Here is an 18,360-nt window from a genome sequence, read left to right on the forward strand (position 1 = left end):
AGCAGGGCCGGGGCAAGGTGGCTTACATGTGTAATCCTAGCATTTTGGGAGGCCAAGGTGAGAGGATCATTTGAGTCCAGGAGTTCAAGACCAGCCTCGGCAACATAGTGAGACCCCATCTCTACAGAAAAATGTAAAAATTATCCAGCATGGTGGTGCCCACCTGTGGTCCCAGCTACTTGGGAGGCTGAGGTGGGAGAATCACTTGAACCTGCGAGGTCAGTGCTGCAGTGAGCCACGCTGCACCACTGTACTCCAGCCTGGATGTCAGAGCAAGACCCCACCCCATCTCAAAACAAAAAAAAAGACAGTACATCTGAATGTTTCATTTGTCTATGGATTTCCACCTGATTACTCCAGAAAGTAATTACTTAAGATGGGGGGTGATTTCAGCATCACCCACCCTCCTATATGGCCAGGCCTCCGAGCATGTACAGTAAGGCACAGTCACCACACCTTGGGAAGGGCCTCCCTGCAGGTGTGCACTGCAGGCCTCAGCCCTGTGCTGGTTAGAGTTATGGAGCAACAGCCGCTTTCCTAAGCAGAAGTGAGGCAAGCTACTTCCGCACAGATTGTGAAACAGGGTTTAGGTTTCTCCCCTCGTGGACGAGAGGCCAAGGGTGTGCCCCATCAGCCTGCCTTCCCAGCAGGTCACAGACCATCCCCACTCTGGCTGGCCTGGAAGGGTTTGACCAGAGCGGATCATGCAGTGACCAGGGCCAGGGCGGCTGGCAGGGGCGGCCTCCGTTTCCATTCTGTCTCCTAAGCAGCCTGGGAGATGTGGGCCTAAGCTTCGGTGAGGACGAGAGTCTGTCTTGGAATTGGGCCTCACAGGGGAGAGTCCAGAGACAGGGCCAGGAAAAGAAGGTGAGGGTGTAACGTCATTCAGAGACCAGCTGCACCCAGGGCTCACCTCCTGGAGGCACCTAGAGTGAGCAGGGGGCTAAGTCAGCCGACAGTGTGGCTGCACAGCCCAGGCCTGTCCCAGCAGAAGGCATGAACCATCAGCAAATGAGTCTCTTTTCCAAGAAACGAAAAGGTCTTGTTCAGAGCCGGGGCCTTGGGAGTGTCCTGATGTTTCAACCACTGCGCCCTGCCTTCCTGTCTCGACGCCCAGGGTTCCAACTCCAAGGTGGAATGGCCAACGTGTGGCCTCAGTGTGGTGGCCGTCTGGGGTGGGTGTGGGCTGCCCGCCTAGTGACCCTGGGAGGCAGAAGTTTCTTTGCCTGAAAGAGAGGAGAGGGGGCGGAAAGTATGCGGGGACAGAAAGCAAGCAGGGGCGGAAAGCCGGGCGCGGGGGCGGTGGAAAGCCAGGGTAGGGGCAGAAAGCAAGTCACTGCAAGGCAGAGCTTCAGGTGCCGTTCCCTGCGCTTTCACACTCTGCCCTGGCCTGCAGGCCACAGGGGAGCTGAAAAGACCAGATGCCCGACTCAGGGGAGTCTGTGTACCCCATTTTGTTCTGACATCCACAGGAGAACCCAGAATCTCTTCTCCCTCCACTCACACGGAGGACAAATAACAACAAAAGGACGAAAACATCGCAGGTTTACCACGCACCAGATCCTGACAGGCTGCTCGCTCAACCCCACAGCACGGTGATGGCCACAAGCGTGTGCTGTTAACAGCCCCATTTCAGGCGAGGCAGTGGCTCAAGCCTGTAATCCCAGCACCTTGGGAGGCCAAGGCCCAGAGGAGTTCAAGACCAGCCTGGGCCACATAGTGAGACCCCCATCTCTATAAAAATTTTAAAAATTGGCTGGGTGCGGTAGCTCACGCCTATAATCCCGGCACTTTGGGAGGTTGAGACAGGCAGATCACCTCAGGTCAGGAGTTCCAGACCAGCCTGGCTAACATGGTGAAACCCCGTCTCTACTAAAAAATCAAAAATTAGCCAGGCGCGGTAGTGGGAGCCTGTAATCCCAGCTACTCGGGAGGCTGAGGCAGAAGAATCACTTGAACCTGGGAAGCAGAGGCTACATTGAGCTGAGATTGGCCATTGCACTCCAGCCTGGGTGACAGAACAAGACTCTGTCACCAAAAAAAAAAAAAAAATTAAAAATTAACCAGGTGTGGGCTGGGCGTGGTGGCTCATGCCTATAATTCGAGCACTTTGAGAGGCCAAGGTGGGCAGATCACCTGAGGTCAGGAGTTTAAGACCAGCCTGGCCACCATGGTGAAACCCCGTATCTACTAAAAATACAAAAATTAGCTGGGCGTGGTGATGCGTGCCTGCAATCCCAGCTACTTGGGAGGCCAAGACAGGAGAATTGCTTGAACCAGGAGGCAGAGGTTGCAGTGAGCTGAGATCGCGCCACTGCACACCAGCCTGCACGACAGAGCAAGACTCCATCTCAGAAAAAAAAAAAAAAAGGATGAGGATTCATCAAGCTATTATTGTGTGCCAGGCCCAGGTGCACGTGACACGCAGCTGTCCTCACAGCCCTGCTACCACCGCCACTCTGCAGAGGAGGAGGCAGGCTCTGAGCGGCTAAGAAGCAAGGCCACAGTCCTAGCCAGTGGGAGACACAGCCGCACAGACTGGGGCCTCAGGCTCTGCCTGCCCCGCCCCTGACTCTAGCCTCTGGGAAAGGCCAGGCCTCTGAGGAAAACCATTTGCCACATTCTCACGCTGAAGCCCCTTTTTGGGACAGTCATGATCAACCAAGCGAGGAAGCGGAACACCAGCTCCTTTGCCCCTGCGCTGCAGCCACCTTTCTGGGGGATCCTGGACAGTTCCCAGGCAGCGTGACTTGGTGGCCCCATACCTTGTCATGGTAAGTGGACAAGCACAAACACTGGGCCCCCCAGCCTGGGCTCAAAGGCCAACAGGCCTGGCCCCAGCTGTGCAAAGCAAGCTCACCTTTAGGGACAAACTTCAGCGAGCTGCTGAATATTCAGAATCGGGACTGCCCCGGCTTGGGGCCGTCGTTCAGGAACTCGTGGCCCAACCCATTGCCACACTTGCCACAGGACACCTGGAAAGATCACAAGGCAGCTGGGTGAGCTTCTGGCCATGATACAGCCACAGTGAAGGCCCTTACTGGGGCTGGCAGATGGTGTTTCTTCCCACACGCCTATTTCCCAAGCTGACCGCCGACATAAGAGGTTGACCTTTGTCCTGGAGCCCGTACAGGAAACCTGTCCTGTTTCCCACATTTGCACCAGAAGGCCAGGCTCTCCCGATAGCCTGGGGTGGCAGCTCCCTGGCAGAGGCAACAGGCCTGGAATAGACGCCTCTAAGCCCCTGGAGCTGTGGGGCAAGCAGAGGGAGGAAGGTGGGACTGGCTCTCTGCTCTCCCTGGCCGCCCCCGTCCCTCCCCCACCCCTGTGGCCTCTCACCTTCAAGGCTTCAGATCTATTGTGCTCCGGACGCTTGGCCACGCTGTCGGCGTGAATGGTCTCGGTGAACGCCGGCCATGGAGACGAGTGTGCATACTTCGAGCGGCTGGAGAACAGCTCATAGCCACACTTGGCACACACGTAAACGCCTGTGGTGGAAGGAGAGGCAAATGTGGAGTCATCAGCTCCCGCCTTTCCGGGGTCAAGCTCCCAAATCCACCAACCCAGGCAAAGACAGCGCTGCCCCCGTTCCGAGGGTAGGCTGTGCTCCTTCCCCAGGCACCCGCCACGGGAGGCGCTGTGCTGAGCTCACGTTTAGTAGATGTGCCAGAGACCAGGGGAGTCACCTTTCACAATTATCTCCTTGATTCTTCTCATAGCCCCGTGACGGGGCATATCCTAACATTTCCATCTTTGCTTGGTGATGCAGACACTCAGCTACAAGTGTGTGCAGCGTGAAGGAACCTGGGTAGTCCAATGAGGACACGGAGCTCCCCCTCGCCCCCCTAGTTCCCCCAGGAACATAGAGGGCAGGGGCCCTGATGTGGCCCAACCACCTGGTCCCTCTCCTTTCTCAAGTGGTCCTCCCTGCTGCCCAACGAGGCCCTAAGCTGGATACCCAGGCACTGCTCTGCTCTCCAGGCAGGAAGAGAACAGTCCCAGAGAAAAGGCCTCCAGGCCACACAGGAGCCCAGGAAGAAAGAGGGCTGGGGACAACAGATTTCAGCCTACCCACAAAGGATCCCTTTGGAGTGGAGGGGGTGGGAAAGTTGCAAAACTGACTTGCAGAACTGTTTTAAGGACTGAAAACAGGAACCTCCAGGGGTGCTGAGTCACCTCTCACCCATCACCTGGGGACAGCCTCCCCTGGAGACTGTAAACTACCCAGCCTTTTCCAGGAACTGGAGAAAAAAGCAAAGAGAAGCCAGCAGCTGCTGTGGAAGTGGAGTTTCTGGCTTGGCAGAGCAGCCTGAGGACAACTGGGATCTAAAGCCAGAGAGTCTTGCTGGGGGAGGCTTTGCCGGGATGGTCCTGTGTCACAGCCCAACCCGCTACAGGGGTGCCACCCAGCAGATCCGCCCAAGGAGACCAGTGCACTCAGACTTGCCTGTGGATGTGTTTTTACCAAATTAGTCCACTACCAGGCGAGCCCAGCCCAGAAGGGATTCATCAGGGCCAGTGTGGAGGGCTGGCCATGCCCCAAACCACCCCATCCTGCCTGCCTGGTCAAACTTCACGGGCTGTTGGCAGGTGCCTGGTGGCACTCCTGGTTCCCCAATTTGGAGTCCCTGGGCAGGTGGGGAGGCACCTGGGCCGGCACATTAGGATCTGAAGGGGACATTCTATGCTTGCCAGACTCCTCCCAGAGATCCCGGACTCGGGGGAATGGGAAGGGCCAGGGTAACACCTGCGGGATGACCCGCGAAGGGGCGCCCCGGCCACAGGAGCTGGCCCTGGACAAGAACCTGGCCTCTCCGAAGCCCCGACCCTAACCCGAATTCCCCCAGCGCCATCACTTTGGAGTGTAGGGGGTAGGGAAGGGGTACCACCCCCACGTATCCCGATCCCTTAGACCCACCCCCGAAACGGCACGTTCACACTCGAGGCCTGCCCCCTCCAGGACGGTGAGCCCCAAGGCCCCCTCTCCTCGGGTACCCCACTCTCCTCGCCCCCAGGCTCCCCACTCCTCCGCAGTCCTTTTGACCCCTGTTCGCTTCTCCCCGGCAGCCACATTCGCCCCCATTCCCGGCTTGGGAGAGACATCACCCCCGGACGACGGCGGCGCCCCCGCTAATGCGCGCCCCCCGCCGCGCTGCCCTCCCAGCGAGAGGCCGCAGGACCAACCAGGTTCAAAGTGATTCTGGAAAACCTCGCCCCCGAAGAAGCTGCAGAACGACATGGCGCCACCGGAACCGCAGCGCGCTTGCCGCTGCCAACTGACCAAAGGCTGCCGACCCGACGACCGCCGGTACCCGCGTCCACCTCCCCGCCCCTCCCGAGGACCAATCGCTCCCCGGAGGGCGAATCCCGGCTTCCGCCTCCGGGAGGCCCCGCCCCTCCTCAGGGCTGGTCCAATACGATCTTCCCAGCTGGCCCCGCCCACGTTGACTCCTTGGGACCACTCCTGGGCCACTTCCCCAAGGCCCCGCCCCCCGGTGCCAGTCCAATCGCATCTCCCCAGCAGGCCCCGCCCATGGAAACTCCCAGGGACCACCCCTAGGCCGCTTCCCCAAGGCCCCGCCCCTGCCGCCCCTCGCGCCCTGGTGGCTAGGGGCGCACATGGGGCCTGGCCAGGTGGGCGACGGCGCGAATCCGTAGGGTCGTGTCCCCCCAGTCCAGTCCCTGGTACTAAGCCCGGAGCTGCCGGAGGTCATGCAGCCTTTCCGCGCCCAGGTGAAACCGCCTTTGCAAAATGATGACTGAAACAGTGAAAGAGATCTAACTCAGCCGACTCTATCTTGCTTCTAACCTCCAAGCTGTCCTTATTCATCCCTGCTGGTAGGTTGAAATAACTTTGGGAGAAACTCAGTTTATAGTTTTTTGTTTTTTTCTTTCTTTCTTTCTTTCTTTTGAGACGGAGTCTTACTCTGTTTCCAGGCTGGAGTGCAGTAGCGCGATCTCAGCTCACTGCAACCTCCAACTCGCTGGTTCAAGCAATTCTCCTGCCTCAGCCTCCCGAGTAGATGGGATTACAATCATGCGCCACCACGCCCAGCTAATTTTGTATTTTTAATAGAGACGAGGTTTCTCGATGTTGGCCAGGCTGGTCTTGAACTCCCGACCTCAGGTGATCCGCCCATCTTGGCCTCCCAAAGTGCTGGGATTACAGGCGTGAGCCACCGCGCCCAGCCAGTTTATAGTTTAAAACAAAGACAGTAACAGCCCTTTCCCAAAGCAGACCACCTCCTTGCCTGGGGACTAGATTGCATTTTTAGGACTAACATTAGCCACAATATTGGGAATTATGGTTTAGGAGTCGTGCATCTGGAGGCTACAAGATTCTGACCCTCCCTAAGCTGCCCCTAAGATCAGTGCTTGAGATATTTTGCCGACCCTGCAACTTGATGGATCTGCTGGCACCAACCAGATTGATAAACTGGCTCATCTGATCTTGTGGCCACCACCCAGGAGCTGACTCAGCGCAAGAAGACAGCTGACTCCCTGTGATTTCCTCCCTGACCAATCGGCTCTCCTGGCTCACTGGCTCTCCCCACCCGCCAAGTTATCCTTAAAAACTCTGCTCCCCGGCACTCCAGCAGCCTGGGCGACAAGATCAAGACTCTCTCAAAAAAAAAAAAAAAAAAAACCTCTGCTCCGCAAATGCTCAAAGAGATCGATTTGAGTAATAATAAAACATAAAACTCCGGTCTCCCGCACAGCCAGCTCTGTGTGAATTACTCTTTCTCTATTGCAATTCCCCTGTCTTAATGAATCGGCTTTGTCTAGGCAGCAGGCAAGGTGAACCCCTTGGGCGGTTACACAGCGCTCTGAGACCTCGCAGGAAGAGTCGCCTCCGGCCTTTGTTAGACATTGGGGCAGACAGTGCGGTGCGCTTCAGGGTTCATCCACCCCACACAGCCTACAAGTCTCCCGAGGTCTCCGGCGTTTCCTTCTCCAGATGCTTCTTTTGGGGGCCCTGGTTGAGAGGGTGGTGCAGGAGGAGCCTTAGTCACTCTGGCCAGAAACACGCCCTCCCCCAGCCAGGCTCTAGATCACTCAGGGCCGGCCCTACTGCCCCCCTAAGGCTGCTTCCTCCCCCACCTTCTCTTCTAAAGAATCAGTGCCCAGGGATAGACCCTTAAGAGTCTCTCCTGCAGGCCGGGCACGGTGGCTCATGTCTGTAATCCCAGCACTTTGGGAGGCCGAGGCGGTCGGATCATGAGGTCAGGAGATAGAGACCATCCTGGCTAATACGATGAAACCCCATCCCTACTAAAAATACAGAAAATTAGCCTGGCGTGGTGGCACGTGCCTGTAGTACCAACGACTGGGTAGGCTGAATCTGGAGAATTGCTTGAACCCAGGAGGTGGAGGTGGCAGTGAGCCAAGATCACGGCACAGCACTCCAGCCTGGGTGACAGAGCGAGACTCCATCTCAAAAAATAAAATAAATAAAAAAAAAAGAGTCTCTCCTGCAGTTGAGCTCAGGGGAGTCCCTGCCAGCTCCAGCTCCCTACTCGGGCAGGCTGGATGTGGAGCTGGAGCCCCAGAGAAGAACAAGGATGGGGGCGGTGAGCTCACCATGAAGGCCCTCTTCTCTTGGGCTGTCTGGAAGCGGCCATGGCCGAACTTGGAGGTGGTGTCAATGAACTTGAGCTCAATATTCTCCACGGCTTGGCGACTGTGATGCACCAGGAGGGACTGGGGAATCCATGGTAAAGTAAACATCAAGTGTGGGGATCCCCCACACCCTGCTGTGAACCTCCAAGCCCCACCAGGAAGGTCTTGCTCACCTAGTTCCTACCAGAGCCCTCCCCTTCTGCTCCCACCACTCCATCCCGCTCGTAGCAGGCCGCAGGGCAGGACAGGCTGGCAGCCCTCGGGCACCCACTCCCCAGCCCACCCAGCACTGCCAACCTTTCTCAGCGTAATGACCCGCTTCTTGGTACCAGCAATACAACCCTTCAGCATGACGAAGTCGTTGTTCACTTCCCCGTAGTGGGGGAAGCCACCCTGCAGAGGACACAGGTCAGAGGCCAGGCCCGGAAAGGGCTTCTGAGTTAGTGGGTGGCTGGGGGCCCTAGCAGAACCCCCAGAGGGGGCAGTGATAGGCAGGAGCCCCGTGCCCAGCCCCCAGATGTAGGGGTGACTATCACGCCGCCCCTACTGAGGGCAGCATCTGAGTCACAAGCTAAGTCCTTTTCATGCATTATCTCACTTGACAGTCTGCATTTTTGTTGGGGGAGACTGAGGATCAGAGGAGTGGAGTCACTTGCTCCAGCCTCTACAGCTGCTAAGTCCTGGAGATGCGGTTTGAGCCCAGGTGGCCTGACTCCCAGGCCACAGTAGGAGCTGCCGCACTCCACACCCACATGACAGCAGCTGGAGTGGAAGCTGCCTCCAGAGGAGGCTCGGAGGATGTGGGACGCAGCAGAGATTTCTTGCTTGTGACTATATCCAAATGTTTTGGACAGCCAAGGCAAGGGTCCCACATCACTGCCCAGCTGTCAAGGTCTTCTGTCCAGTGTGCCTGGCGGGGCAGCGTCCAGCTGTGGGGCAAAAATCTTGAGCCCTTGGGGCAGGGAGCGTCCAGCTGAGGCTGGGGCATGCCCCCTACATGTATACCAGGCCCCCCGGCCAGCCTGACCCCACTCCAGCCATCATCAGCGGTGTGATGGGCCTGGCAGTCGCCCCCTCCCAGCCTCACCAGCGGTGTGATGGACTTGGCAGTCACGTCGTAGCTGGTGGATGCATTGTTCTTCACCAGCTTCCCGTCCTCCATGTGCGGGCCCCTGCCGATGCGGAAGATCTGCCAGAAGGGGGCACATGCCAGGGGCAGGAAGTGGCCTCTGAGGCCAGCAGCCCATCCAGGCCCATCCGCCCACATGCTCAGACTCAGTGCTGGTGGGGGCATCTTGTGTCCCCGGCAGTGTCTGGGTCATGCACCCCACCCACTGAGGCCAGTACTGAGGGCTGGGGTCCGACCACACAGTGTCCCCGTACCCCGGCTGAGGACGCACCTTCTTGTTGAGCTCCGTGCGGTGGTGATAGCCCTTCTGCCCGGCCCGAGCAATGGAGCAGCCCACGCGGGCGGGGTGCCAGGCGCCAATGCAGGCCACCTTGCGCAGGCCCTTATGGGTCTTCCGCGGCAGCTTCTTGGTATGCCAGCGGCTTGTGACCCCTGTGAGTGAGAGGGGCTGGTGGCTGAGAGGCCAGGCTGGTCCCCACTGCCTCCAGGCAGCCTGCCCTGGAGCTGCCATCCTCACTGAGCCCTACCTTTGACGCCTCGACCCTTGGTGACAGCAATGACATCAATGACCTCACTCTGGCTGAACACGCTGTGCACGGGCACCTGCTTCTCCAGCCGGGCCTGGGCCCAGGCCACCTTCTCGGCCACCGTGCCACCGTTCAGCTGGATCTCCATGATGTGGGCCTTCTTCTGCCGGAAGGGCAGCAGTTTCATCTGCAGGACATGGCCGGAGGTCACGCCACGGCCCACGGGATCACACCCCCACCTGAAACATGGCATGGCCAGCAGTGACCCCTGCCGCCTTCCACGCATGCATTCATTCACAGGTGTTCCCAGGATCAGGTTGCAACCCATGTGTTGTGCTAGGCACTGCGGATCCGGTGCAGAATGAGGCAGACAGAGTCCCACACCTCGGGAGCCACCATCTCACTGGGGGACAGAAGGAAACCAAGTAACTCTTGGAGAGGACAGAGTGCTCTGATGGGCTATGGGGGCTGGTGTTTCAGATACAGTGGTCAGGGCAGAGAGGGCTTCTCTGAGAAGGTGCCGCTGCTAACAAGTAGGAGCCACGAGGCAAACATTGGAGAGGCTCTGGGCAGCAGGACCCCGCATTTGCACAGGCCTGGTGGCAGAGGAGGCCTTGGAAAGTTGGTGGGACAGAGAGGAGACCAGTGTGGGCAGACGGTGGGGAGCAAGGGGCGTGGGCCAGCACCTGGGAGTGGGGAGCTCGGACTTTCTTCCAAGTGCAGGCTGCGATGTGATCTGATTGGATTTTTTTTTTTTTTTTTTTTTTTGAGTCTCGCTCTATCGCCCAGGCTGGAGTGCAATGGCATGATCTCGGCTCACTGCAAGCTCTGCCTCCCGGGTTCACGCCATTCCCCTGCCTCAGCCTCCTGAGTAGCTGGGACTACAGGTGCCCGCCACCTCGACCAGCTAATTTTTTGTATTTTTAGTTGAGACAGGGTTTCACTGTGTTGGCCCGGATGGTCTGCATCTCCTGACCTCATGATCCGCCCGCCTCAGCCTCCCAAAGTGCTGGGATTACAGGCGTGAGCCACCACGCCCGGCCTTTTTTTAATGGAGTCTCGCTCTGTTGCCCAGACTGGAGTACAGTGGGGCGATCTCGGCTCACTGCAACCTCTGCCTCCCTGAATCAAGTGATTCTCCTGCCTCAGCTTCTTGAGTAACTGGGATTACAGGTGTGTGCCACCATGCCCGGCTAATTTTTTTGTATTTTTAGTACAGTTGGGGTTTCCCATGTTGGCCAGGCTGGTTTCAAACTCCTGACTTCAAGCGATCCACCCACCTTGACCTCCCAAAGTGCTAGGGTTCAGGCATGAGCCACTGCACCTGGCCTGATTTTTATTTTTTTATATTTTTATTTTGAGACAGGGTCTCGCTCTGTCACCCAGGCTGGAGTGCAGTGGCATGATCAAGGCTCACTGCAGCCTCAGCCTCCCGGGCCGAAGCAATCCTCCCACCTTAGCCTCCTGAGTAGCTGGGATGACAGGCACTCACCACCATGCCCAGTTGTTTTTTTTTTGTTTGTTTGTTTGTTTGTTTTTTGAGACGGAGTTTTGCTCTGTCGCCCAGGCTGGAGTGCAGTGGCGCAATCTCGGCTCACTGCAAGCTCTGCCTCCTGGGTTCACGCCATTCTCCTACCTCAGCCTCCCGAGTAGCTGGGACTACAGGTTGTGCCACTACGCCTGGCTAATTTTTTGTATTTTTAGTAGAGACGGGGTTTCACCGCGTTAGCTAGGATGGTCTCAATCTCCTGACCTGATCTGCCTGCCTCGGCCTCCCAAAGTGCTGGAATTACAGACGTGAGCCACCGCGCCTGGCTTTTTTTTTTTTTTTTTGTAGAGATGGGGATCTCCCTATGTTGCCAAGACTGGTCTCGAAGTCCTCCTGCCTCAGCACCCCTCTCCAAGTAGCTGGAACTACAGGCATGCACCACCATGCCCAGCCAATTTTTAATTTTTTTGTAGAGATGAGGTCTCGTTAAGTTGCCCGGGCTGCCACCTTGTCCTCCCACAGTGCTAGGATCACTGGTGTAAGCCACTGGGCCTGATTTTTGTTTTTTTTTTTTTTCTTTTTTTTTTTTTTTTTTTTTTGAGACTCTATCGCCCGGGCTGGAGTGCCATGGTGCGATCTTGGCTCACTGCAACCTCCACCTCCCAGTTTCAAGTGATTCTCCTGCCTCAGTCTCCCAAGTAGCTGGGATTGCAGGCGCCCACCATGCCCAGCTAATTTGTTTGTATTTTTACTAGAGATGGGGTTTTGCCATGTTGGCCAGGCTGGTCTCGAACTCCTGACCTCAGGTGATCCGCCTGCCTTGGCCTCCCAAAGTGCTGGGGTTACAGGCGTGATCCACCATGTCTGGCTTGATTTTTTTTTTTTTTTTTTGGTAAGGTCTCTGGCTGGTGCTGTGTGAAGCACAGGCTGTGCAATGTAGAGGTGGAGACAGAGAGGCCAGCGGGGAACACATAGTGACCCATAGGTATGTATGGGGCAGGTATGTATGAGGCAGGTATGTACGGGGCAGGTATGGACGGGGCAGTATGTACGGGGCAGGTATGTACGGGGCAGGTATGTAGGGGGCAGGTATGTAGGGGGCAGGTATGGACGGGGCAGGTATGGACGGGGCAGGTATGGACGGGGCAGGTATGGACGGGGTAGGTATGGACGGGGTAGGTATGTAGGGGGCAGGTATGTAGGGGGCAGGTATGTAGGGGGCAGGTATGTAGGGGGCAGGTATGTAAGGGGCAGGTATGTAAGGGGCAGGTATGTAAGGGGCAGGTATGGACGGGGCAGGTATGGACAGGGCAGGTATGTAGGGGGCAGGTATGTAGGGAGCAGGTATGGACGGGGCAGGTATAGACAGAGCAGGTATGTAGGGGGCAGGTATGGACGGGGCAGGTATGTAGGGGGCAGGTATGGACGGGGCAGGTATGTAGGGGGCAGGTATGGACAGGGCAGGTATGTATGGGGTGGGTATGTATGGGGTGGGTATGTATGGGGCGGGTATGTATGGGGCAGGTATTTACAGAGCACCTCCTGCATACCAGGCTCTTGGTGGCAGCTGTGGCCCCGCCCAGGGCCTCTGCCTGCCTGGAGTCTGTCCAGGGAGATGAACACACACCAGTGACTGGCCCAGGCATGGTGTACAAGTGTGCGAGCAGCTGGGGGCAGTGTGGGGGCTGTGGGAAGCTCAGGGTCGGGGGCACTGCTCTAGGGCCTCGGGAAGCCTTCCCTGAGGACAAAGATGCCAAAGAGTGTTCCAGAATAAGCTGGAGGGTGCCGCCTGCCTGTCAGCCTACAGCAAGCCAGACCCATGTACAAACACGGATTCCTGTGCACACTTACGCTGGAAACCGAAGAGAGGTGACCAGCCCTCCACACAGCACACTTGGCTGGGGACCCGGCTCTTCAGGGCGTGCCAGGGTCTTAGTTGACTAGCCGGCGTGGCTGATGCCCCTGGCACCCCAGAAGGCACCGATGCCTTTCAGCAGCCATGCCTGGGGCTGCACGTGGCCAGCGAGGCTGGTCAGCCGCTCCTCTGGGTCTGTGCCGAGGCTCGGGTATTTTTAGGCTGACATTTGCCACAGCTCCTGGAAGCTGGGGTGAGGGAGCGTGGTCCTAGGGACTGACCGACAGCGGAGGGCCGGGGGCTGACCTGAGTGTGGACAATGACCCGAATGACCTTGCAGTACTTCTTCATGGCGGCGAAGTCCTTCTGTAGCTGCTTTTTCCCGTCTGTGTCCCGCCACCTCTTGCAGGCCTTGGTGAAGGCTTTCTTCTTGCTCTTGTGCCTGAGCCATGCACAGGAGGGTGCTCAGAAGCCCCCAACCGGGGCAGCTCCCCAGGCCTATCCTGCCCCCACCTCACCCCCAGCCCACCAAGCAGGGGTCCTACCTCTGGGACCGCCCCCCACCCGGAGGCCTCTGAGCTGGTTCCAGCCACCATCTTTGAACATAGACTGTCTCTCCCCCTCTAGGCCCCGGTTTCCTCCTCTGTAAAGTAGGTACCCTCCCTGTTTCCCGGGGCCTGAGAGTGAGTGGCAGAGGTGCAGAAGCTCAGAGAAGGCGGCTGGCCAGCCCTGCAGTCCAGGCACCTAGAGACCACCCCACCTGCCACATGGCTCAGACTGCTGGTCCCACTTCTCAAGGGTGCAGTGGGTGCCATGGCCAGGCACCTCGGGCTTGGGAGCCATCCTTTCTTTTTTGTTTTTGGAGATAGGGTCTCACTTTCTCTCCCAGGCTGGAGTGCAGTGGCACAAACACAGCTCACTGCAGCCTGGAGCTCCCAGACTCAAGCAATCCTCCCACCTCACCCCCCATGTAGCTGAGACCACAGGCATGCGCCACCGTGCCCGGCTAATTTTTTGTATTTTTTTGTAGAGACGGGTTTCGTCATGTTGCCCAGGCTGGTCTCGAAGCCCTGAGCTCAAACGGTCTGCCTGCCTTAGCCTCCCAAAGTGCTGGAATTATAGGAATGAACCATTGTGCCCAGCCAGAAGCCATAGTTTCTAACCCTCAGCAGAGTTCTGGGAGGTGGACATTATTATTATTATTATTATTATTATTATTATTATTATTATTATTCCCATTCTATAGGTGAAGAAACCAAGGTTTCTTTCAGGACTTACTGCCAGGGAAGATTTGAGGCCCGAGAATACCTTTCTATGTGTAAGAGCTTCTCAGCTGGCTATTTCACTTTTCACAATGGCTGCTAGGAAACTCAGAGCCAATGCTAACATTCCATCAAATTAGCCTTTTGGTTTTTTGTTTGTTTGTTTTTTGACAGGGTCTCACTCTGTCGCTCACACTGGAGTGCAGCGGCACAATCTCAGCTCACTACAATCTCCACCTCCCAGGCTCAAGCGATTCTCCTGCCTCAGCCTCCCAAGTAGCTGGGATTACAGGTGTCTGCCACCACGCCCAGCTTATTTTTTTATTTTTATTTTTTTTTTTGTATTTTTAGTAGAGACGGGTTTTCACCATGTTGGCCAGGCTGGTCTCGAACTCCTGACCTCAAATGAGCCACCCGCCTTGGCCTCCCAAAGTGCTGGGACTACTACAGTCGTGAGCCACCACAAGCCGCCCAAATTAGCCTTTTAATTAACCCTGAGGATTAGAATATTTGTTTCCTCTTTTTCCTCCATCCTGATTTCATCTCCAGCCTTCTAGTACTCATGTTTTTTGTTTTTTGTGTTTTTCTTGAGATTGAGACAGGGTTTCACTCTGCCACCCAGGCTGCAGTGCAGTGGCACGATCTCAGCTCACTGCAACCTTCACCTCCCAGTTCAAGTGATTCTCCCACCTCAGCCTCCTGAGTAGCTGGACTACAGGTGCGCACCACCCCAGCCAGCTAATTTTTGTATTTTTTGGTAGAGATGGGGTTTCACCATGTTGGCCAAGCTGGTCTCAAACTCCTGACCTCAAGTGATCCACCCGCCTCGGCCTCCCAAAGTGCTGGGATTACAGGCGTGAGCCAGCACGCCCAGCCTACTCATCTTTTATTGAAATGAAGGCAACCACACAACACACACACACACACACACAGACACTCCTACCTCCCACAGACGGTTGAGACTTCGCTTCCTACTCACCCACACCTATCATTTCAGCAAGAGCTAGAGCCTCAGGCACCCAACTTCTGTGGTCCCAGCAGCCCTTGGACGGCCCAGCCAAGGGCGGTGCTCACCAGTCCTTGTAGAATCGGCGCCGGCACTCATCACTGAGGTGTTCTGCAAAGATGGTCTTGAAGCTCCGGAGACCTCGAGGGGTGGCCACGTAGCCCACCACGCCCACCACCACTAGGGGCGGCGTTTCTACAATTGTCACCGCCTCCACCTCCTCCCGTTTGGAAATTTCTGGATGAGACACAGGGATGGGGCATGAAGGGGGACCTCCTGAGGCCTGTGGGGGAGGGAGTGGAGAGCCGCCCACATAGGGGCAGGACAGGAGAGTGTGGGGCCAGCCAGGACAGCATTCCCCAGAGGGTGGGGCTGAGCCCAAATGAGCATTTGTTATTCTAATGATTACAATGGATTTCTTTTTCTGTTTTTGAGACAGGGTCTCACTCTGTCACCCAGGCTGCAATGCAGTGGTGCAATCATAGCTCACTGCAGCCTTGACTTCCCAAGCTCAAGTGATCCTCCCACCTCAGCCTCCCAAGTAGCTGCGACTACAGGCACTCGCCACAACGCCCAGCTAATTTTTGTATTTTTTGTAGAGATAGGGTTTCACGATGCCGTCCAGGTTGGTCTGCAACTCCTGGCCTCAAATGATCCTCCTGCCTCGGCCTCCCAAAGTGCTGGGATTACAGGCGTGAGCCACCATGCCCGGCCTGCATTATTTCTTACAACTACTTGTGAATCTACGATTAAAACAACAAAAACTAACTATATACATAGGCGTACATATGAAATAATGGTACATGAAATAGACCCGAAATGGCCAAAAAGTGCAGATGTCCTGGCAGGTGGTTTGAACCGAGGGCTTGGGGCGCTGGCCTTTGAATCCTAGCTCCTGCGCTTACCGCCCCGGTGACTGGACCAGGTTCCTCACTGCTTTGTGCCTCAATGTCCTCATCTGCGAGCTGGGGCCATGACAGAACCCGCCCGGAAGCCCTGCCTGTGCTCAGCGTCCACCCCAATTCCCGGGGGCGAGGCCTGGTGCTCCCTGGGACTGTGGCCCTGTCTGGACCAAAAGCGTGAGTTCTGGCTCCGAGCATCTGGAAGGTTCAGCCCTCCCCCTCCCCCAAGGGTCCCAACTGTGACTCACTGAGCCCCGGCCGGTGCACCTCCCGCAGGGTGTGGGTCATGCCCGCCTTGTAGCCCAGGAAGGCCGTGAGGTGCACGGGCTGGCTGGGGTCATCCCGCGGCCACGTCTTCACCTTGCCCCGGTGCCGGTGGCTCCTCTTATGGGGCAGGAAGCCCAGGTGTCCGTGCCGAGGGGCGGAAAACTTCCGGTGGGACTGGGGGGCAGGAAGGAAGGAGGTCAGACCTGGGGTGTCCCTGGTGGTAGAGCTGGATGGTCCCAGAACCCATACCTGGAGAAATGGACTACAGGCTTCAGACTGAGGCCTGTGCTCAGCACCTCCCCTGTCTGCCTACAGGAGGGGAGAGGAAGGTTCACCAAGGGGCAGCGTCTTTGGGATGGGGTCTCCATAGCCACAGGCTTCCTGCCTCTGTGGGCTCAGCCTGGGGCCCAGGAGGGTCGCACCCATACTGCAGCCAAGGGCTCCTGGGGCAGGTGGCCGCTGCCATCTGTTCATCTCCAGGGCCCTCCCAGGCCCAGGAGCCCAGCCCTCGTCCCCTTGTTTCCCCCTCCAGCCTCCCATCCCCTCACAGGCTGGGAGACTGTCCCTCTGAGGGAGCATCCAGAAGCCCAGCTGTCCCACCCCCCCAGAGTTCCAGCTCCAACCCCAGCCCACCCTCACCCTGGTCCCACCAACCATGGTGGCCGATCCCTGAAGGTCAGGAAGGGGCCTCGCCGCTAGCCGCCAGAGGTCGAGTGGCAGGGCCAGGACTCACAGCTGCCAGTTCCCAGATTAGCCCCTGGCACAGTCAGCAGGGTCTCCGGTGCCAGGAGCAGGCAGGGGCGGGGCAGTGTTGGGGGCATCAGATAGACAGCCTGAGTGGGGCACCCGGAGCCAGGGCTGGCACTCCTTTCCTCGATGGCCCTGGGGCTGGGTCATGACCCTCCCAGGACAGGACTGGCCAGGCAAGGTGGGGGCCAAGGTAGCCGGTGGGGGCCTTCTCCCAGGCAGCGGCCAAGAGGAGGGGTCTGGAGCAGTTTGCCGACTTGGAGGCAGAGGGGGTTCCTGTCCTGAGGGCTGGGAGACAGCTGGATAAACAGCGGGGAGCAGGGCTGGGGACAGGGCAGACGAGGGGGAGGGCTGACTGCACCTTGAGGATCACCAGAGCTGTGCTTCCAGATTGAGATCCCTGGCTGAGTGCAGTGGCTCATGCCTGTAATCCCAGCACTTTGGGAGGCTGAGGCAGGAGGATCACTTGAGCCCAGGATGTCAGGCCGCAGTGAACCTTGACTGCACTCCAGCCTGCGTGACTGAGCGAGACACTGTCTTAAAAACAAAAAAAAAGCCAGCCTGGCCAACATGGTGAAACCCCATCTCTACTAAAAATATAAAAATTAGCCGGGCGTGGTGGTGTGGGCCTGTTAATTCCAGCTACTTGGGAGGCTGAGGCAGGAGAATCACTTGAACCTGGGAGGCAGAGGTTGCAGGTTGCAGTGAGGCGAGATCGCGCCGCTGCACTCCAGCCTGGGCAATAGGGTAAGACTCCGTCTCAAAAAAAAAAAAAAAATCAAGATCTGACTCCTGTCATTCACAATCATTGAAATACTTTTATGAATTTATCTTTTTTATTTTTTTGAGATGGAGTCGCTCTGTTGCCCAGGCTGGAGTGCAGAGGCGTGATCTCGGCTCACTGCAAGCTCCCCCTCCCGGGTTCACACCATTCTCCTGCCTCAGCCTCCCAAGTAGCTGGGACTACAGGCGCCTGCCACCACACCCGGCTACCTTTTTGTATTTTTGGTAGAGACGAGGTTTCACTGTGTTAGCCAGGATGTTCTCGATCTCCTGACCTTGTGATCTGCCTACCTCAGCCTCCCAAAGTGCTGGGATTACAGGCATGAGCCACCGCGCCTGGCCTTATTTAAAGAGACAATGTCTCATTCCATGGCTCAGGCTGGAATGCAGCGGTGTGATCATACCTCACTTGCAGCCTCAACCTTTTGGGCTTAAGTGGTCCTTCTGCCTCAGCAGGACCTAATTTTTAAATGTGTCTTGTTGTAGAGGCGGGCGTCTCACCATGTTGCCTAGGCTGGTCTGAAACTCCTGGCCTCAAGTGATTCTCCTGCCTCAGCCTCTCAAAGTGCTGAGATTACAGGTATAAGCCACAGCACCTGGCCAAATTTAAATTTTGAATTTAAGTTTTGAATGAAGAGGGGGTTGAAATCTTATTTTTTTTTCTTTTTTTTTTTTTTTTTTTGAGACAGGGTTTCTCTCTGGTGCCCAGGCTAAAATGTAGTGGCACAGTAATAGCTCACTGCAGCCTCAGTCTCCTGGGTTCAAGCAATCCT

The 18,360-nt window shown here is 56.8% G+C and overlaps 2 protein-coding genes and 1 long non-coding RNA gene across 6 annotated transcripts, besides 3 other annotated features; 1 reads left to right on the forward strand and 2 right to left on the reverse strand.

Annotated features, from left to right (window-relative positions):
• Positions 1–311: 311 nt before the first annotated feature.
• Positions 312–5,282, reverse strand: MSRB1 (methionine sulfoxide reductase B1). 3 transcript variants are annotated; one of them, NM_001382264.1, is made up of 4 exons: positions 5,185–5,282; positions 3,372–3,488; positions 2,861–2,975; positions 312–1,226 (listed from the first exon to the last, which is right to left on the reverse strand). In NM_001382264.1, exons 1-3 carry the CDS (start codon positions 5,237–5,239, stop codon positions 2,863–2,865), a joined length of 285 nt encoding a protein of 94 aa, NP_001369193.1. In that variant the 5' UTR covers positions 5,240–5,282; the 3' UTR covers positions 312–1,226; positions 2,861–2,862. The 3 variants fall into 3 exon arrangements, with proteins under 3 accessions (NP_001369193.1, NP_057416.1, NP_001369194.1); NM_016332.4 differs by having other exon boundaries at positions 3,340–3,488; NM_001382265.1 differs by lacking the exon at positions 2,861–2,975 and having other exon boundaries at positions 3,340–3,488.
• Positions 3,182–4,071: an enhancer, noted in NCBI's record as "H3K4me1 hESC enhancer chr16:1991100-1991989 (GRCh37/hg19 assembly coordinates)". NCBI's record gives its function as "activates a minimal SCP1, AML or CMV promoter by ChIP-STARR-seq in naive H9 embryonic stem cells {active_cell/tissue: H9 hESC(naive)}" and the evidence as "EXISTENCE:reporter gene assay evidence [ECO:0000049][PMID:30033119]".
• On the forward strand, positions 4,877–6,716 carry LOC124903625 (uncharacterized). The gene is made up of 2 exons (XR_007064940.1): positions 4,877–4,964; positions 5,068–6,716. It is a non-coding gene; the product is annotated as an uncharacterized LOC124903625 (long non-coding RNA).
• Positions 5,256–5,755: a silencer, noted in NCBI's record as "silent region_7010". NCBI's record gives its function as "represses an Ori minimal core promoter by ATAC-STARR-seq in GM12878 lymphoblastoid cells {active_cell/tissue: GM12878}" and the evidence as "EXISTENCE:reporter gene assay evidence [ECO:0000049][PMID:35858748]".
• RPL3L (ribosomal protein L3 like) lies at positions 6,057–16,772 on the reverse strand. Of its 2 annotated transcripts, none has more exons than NM_005061.3 (10): positions 16,712–16,772; positions 16,039–16,231; positions 14,957–15,125; positions 12,927–13,062; positions 9,277–9,463; positions 9,021–9,181; positions 8,708–8,809; positions 7,918–8,013; positions 7,582–7,701; positions 6,057–6,976 (listed from the first exon to the last, which is right to left on the reverse strand). In NM_005061.3, exons 1-10 carry the CDS (start codon positions 16,712–16,714, stop codon positions 6,920–6,922), a joined length of 1,224 nt encoding a protein of 407 aa, NP_005052.1. In that variant the 5' UTR covers positions 16,715–16,772; the 3' UTR covers positions 6,057–6,919. The 2 variants fall into 2 exon arrangements, with proteins under 2 accessions (NP_005052.1, XP_011520873.1); XM_011522571.3 differs by having other exon boundaries at positions 16,697–16,772.
• Positions 15,487–16,476: an enhancer, noted in NCBI's record as "H3K27ac-H3K4me1 hESC enhancer chr16:2003405-2004394 (GRCh37/hg19 assembly coordinates)". NCBI's record gives its function as "activates a minimal SCP1, AML or CMV promoter by ChIP-STARR-seq in primed H9 embryonic stem cells {active_cell/tissue: H9 hESC(primed)}" and the evidence as "EXISTENCE:reporter gene assay evidence [ECO:0000049][PMID:30033119]".
• Positions 16,773–18,360: the final 1,588 nt, after the last annotated feature.

Source organism: Homo sapiens, chromosome 16 (genome assembly GCF_000001405.40).
Source record: "Homo sapiens chromosome 16, GRCh38.p14 Primary Assembly".
NCBI classification, from domain to species: Eukaryota; Metazoa; Chordata; class Mammalia; order Primates; family Hominidae; genus Homo; species Homo sapiens.

Coding starts and splice junctions, on each gene's coding strand:
- MSRB1 (NM_001382264.1), bottom strand. CDS start 5,239: ATGTCGTTCTGCAGCTTCTTCGGGGGCGAGGTTTTCCAGAATCACTTT. Junction 3,489..5,184: donor CCAGAATCACTTTGAACCTG/GTTGGTCCTGCG, acceptor CTTCCACCACAG/GCGTTTACGTGTGTGCCAAG. Junction 2,976..3,371: donor CGCCGACAGCGTGGCCAAGC/GTCCGGAGCACA, acceptor TGATCTTTCCAG/GTGTCCTGTGGCAAGTGTGG.
- RPL3L (XM_011522571.3), bottom strand. Junction 13,063..14,956: donor CGCCGATTCTACAAGGACTG/GTGAGCACCGCC, acceptor TGCATGGCTCAG/GCACAAGAGCAAGAAGAAAG. Junction 6,977..7,581: donor AAGAGAAGAGGGCCTTCATG/GTGAGCTCACCG, acceptor CCTCTCAACCAG/GGCCCCCAAAAGAAGCATCT.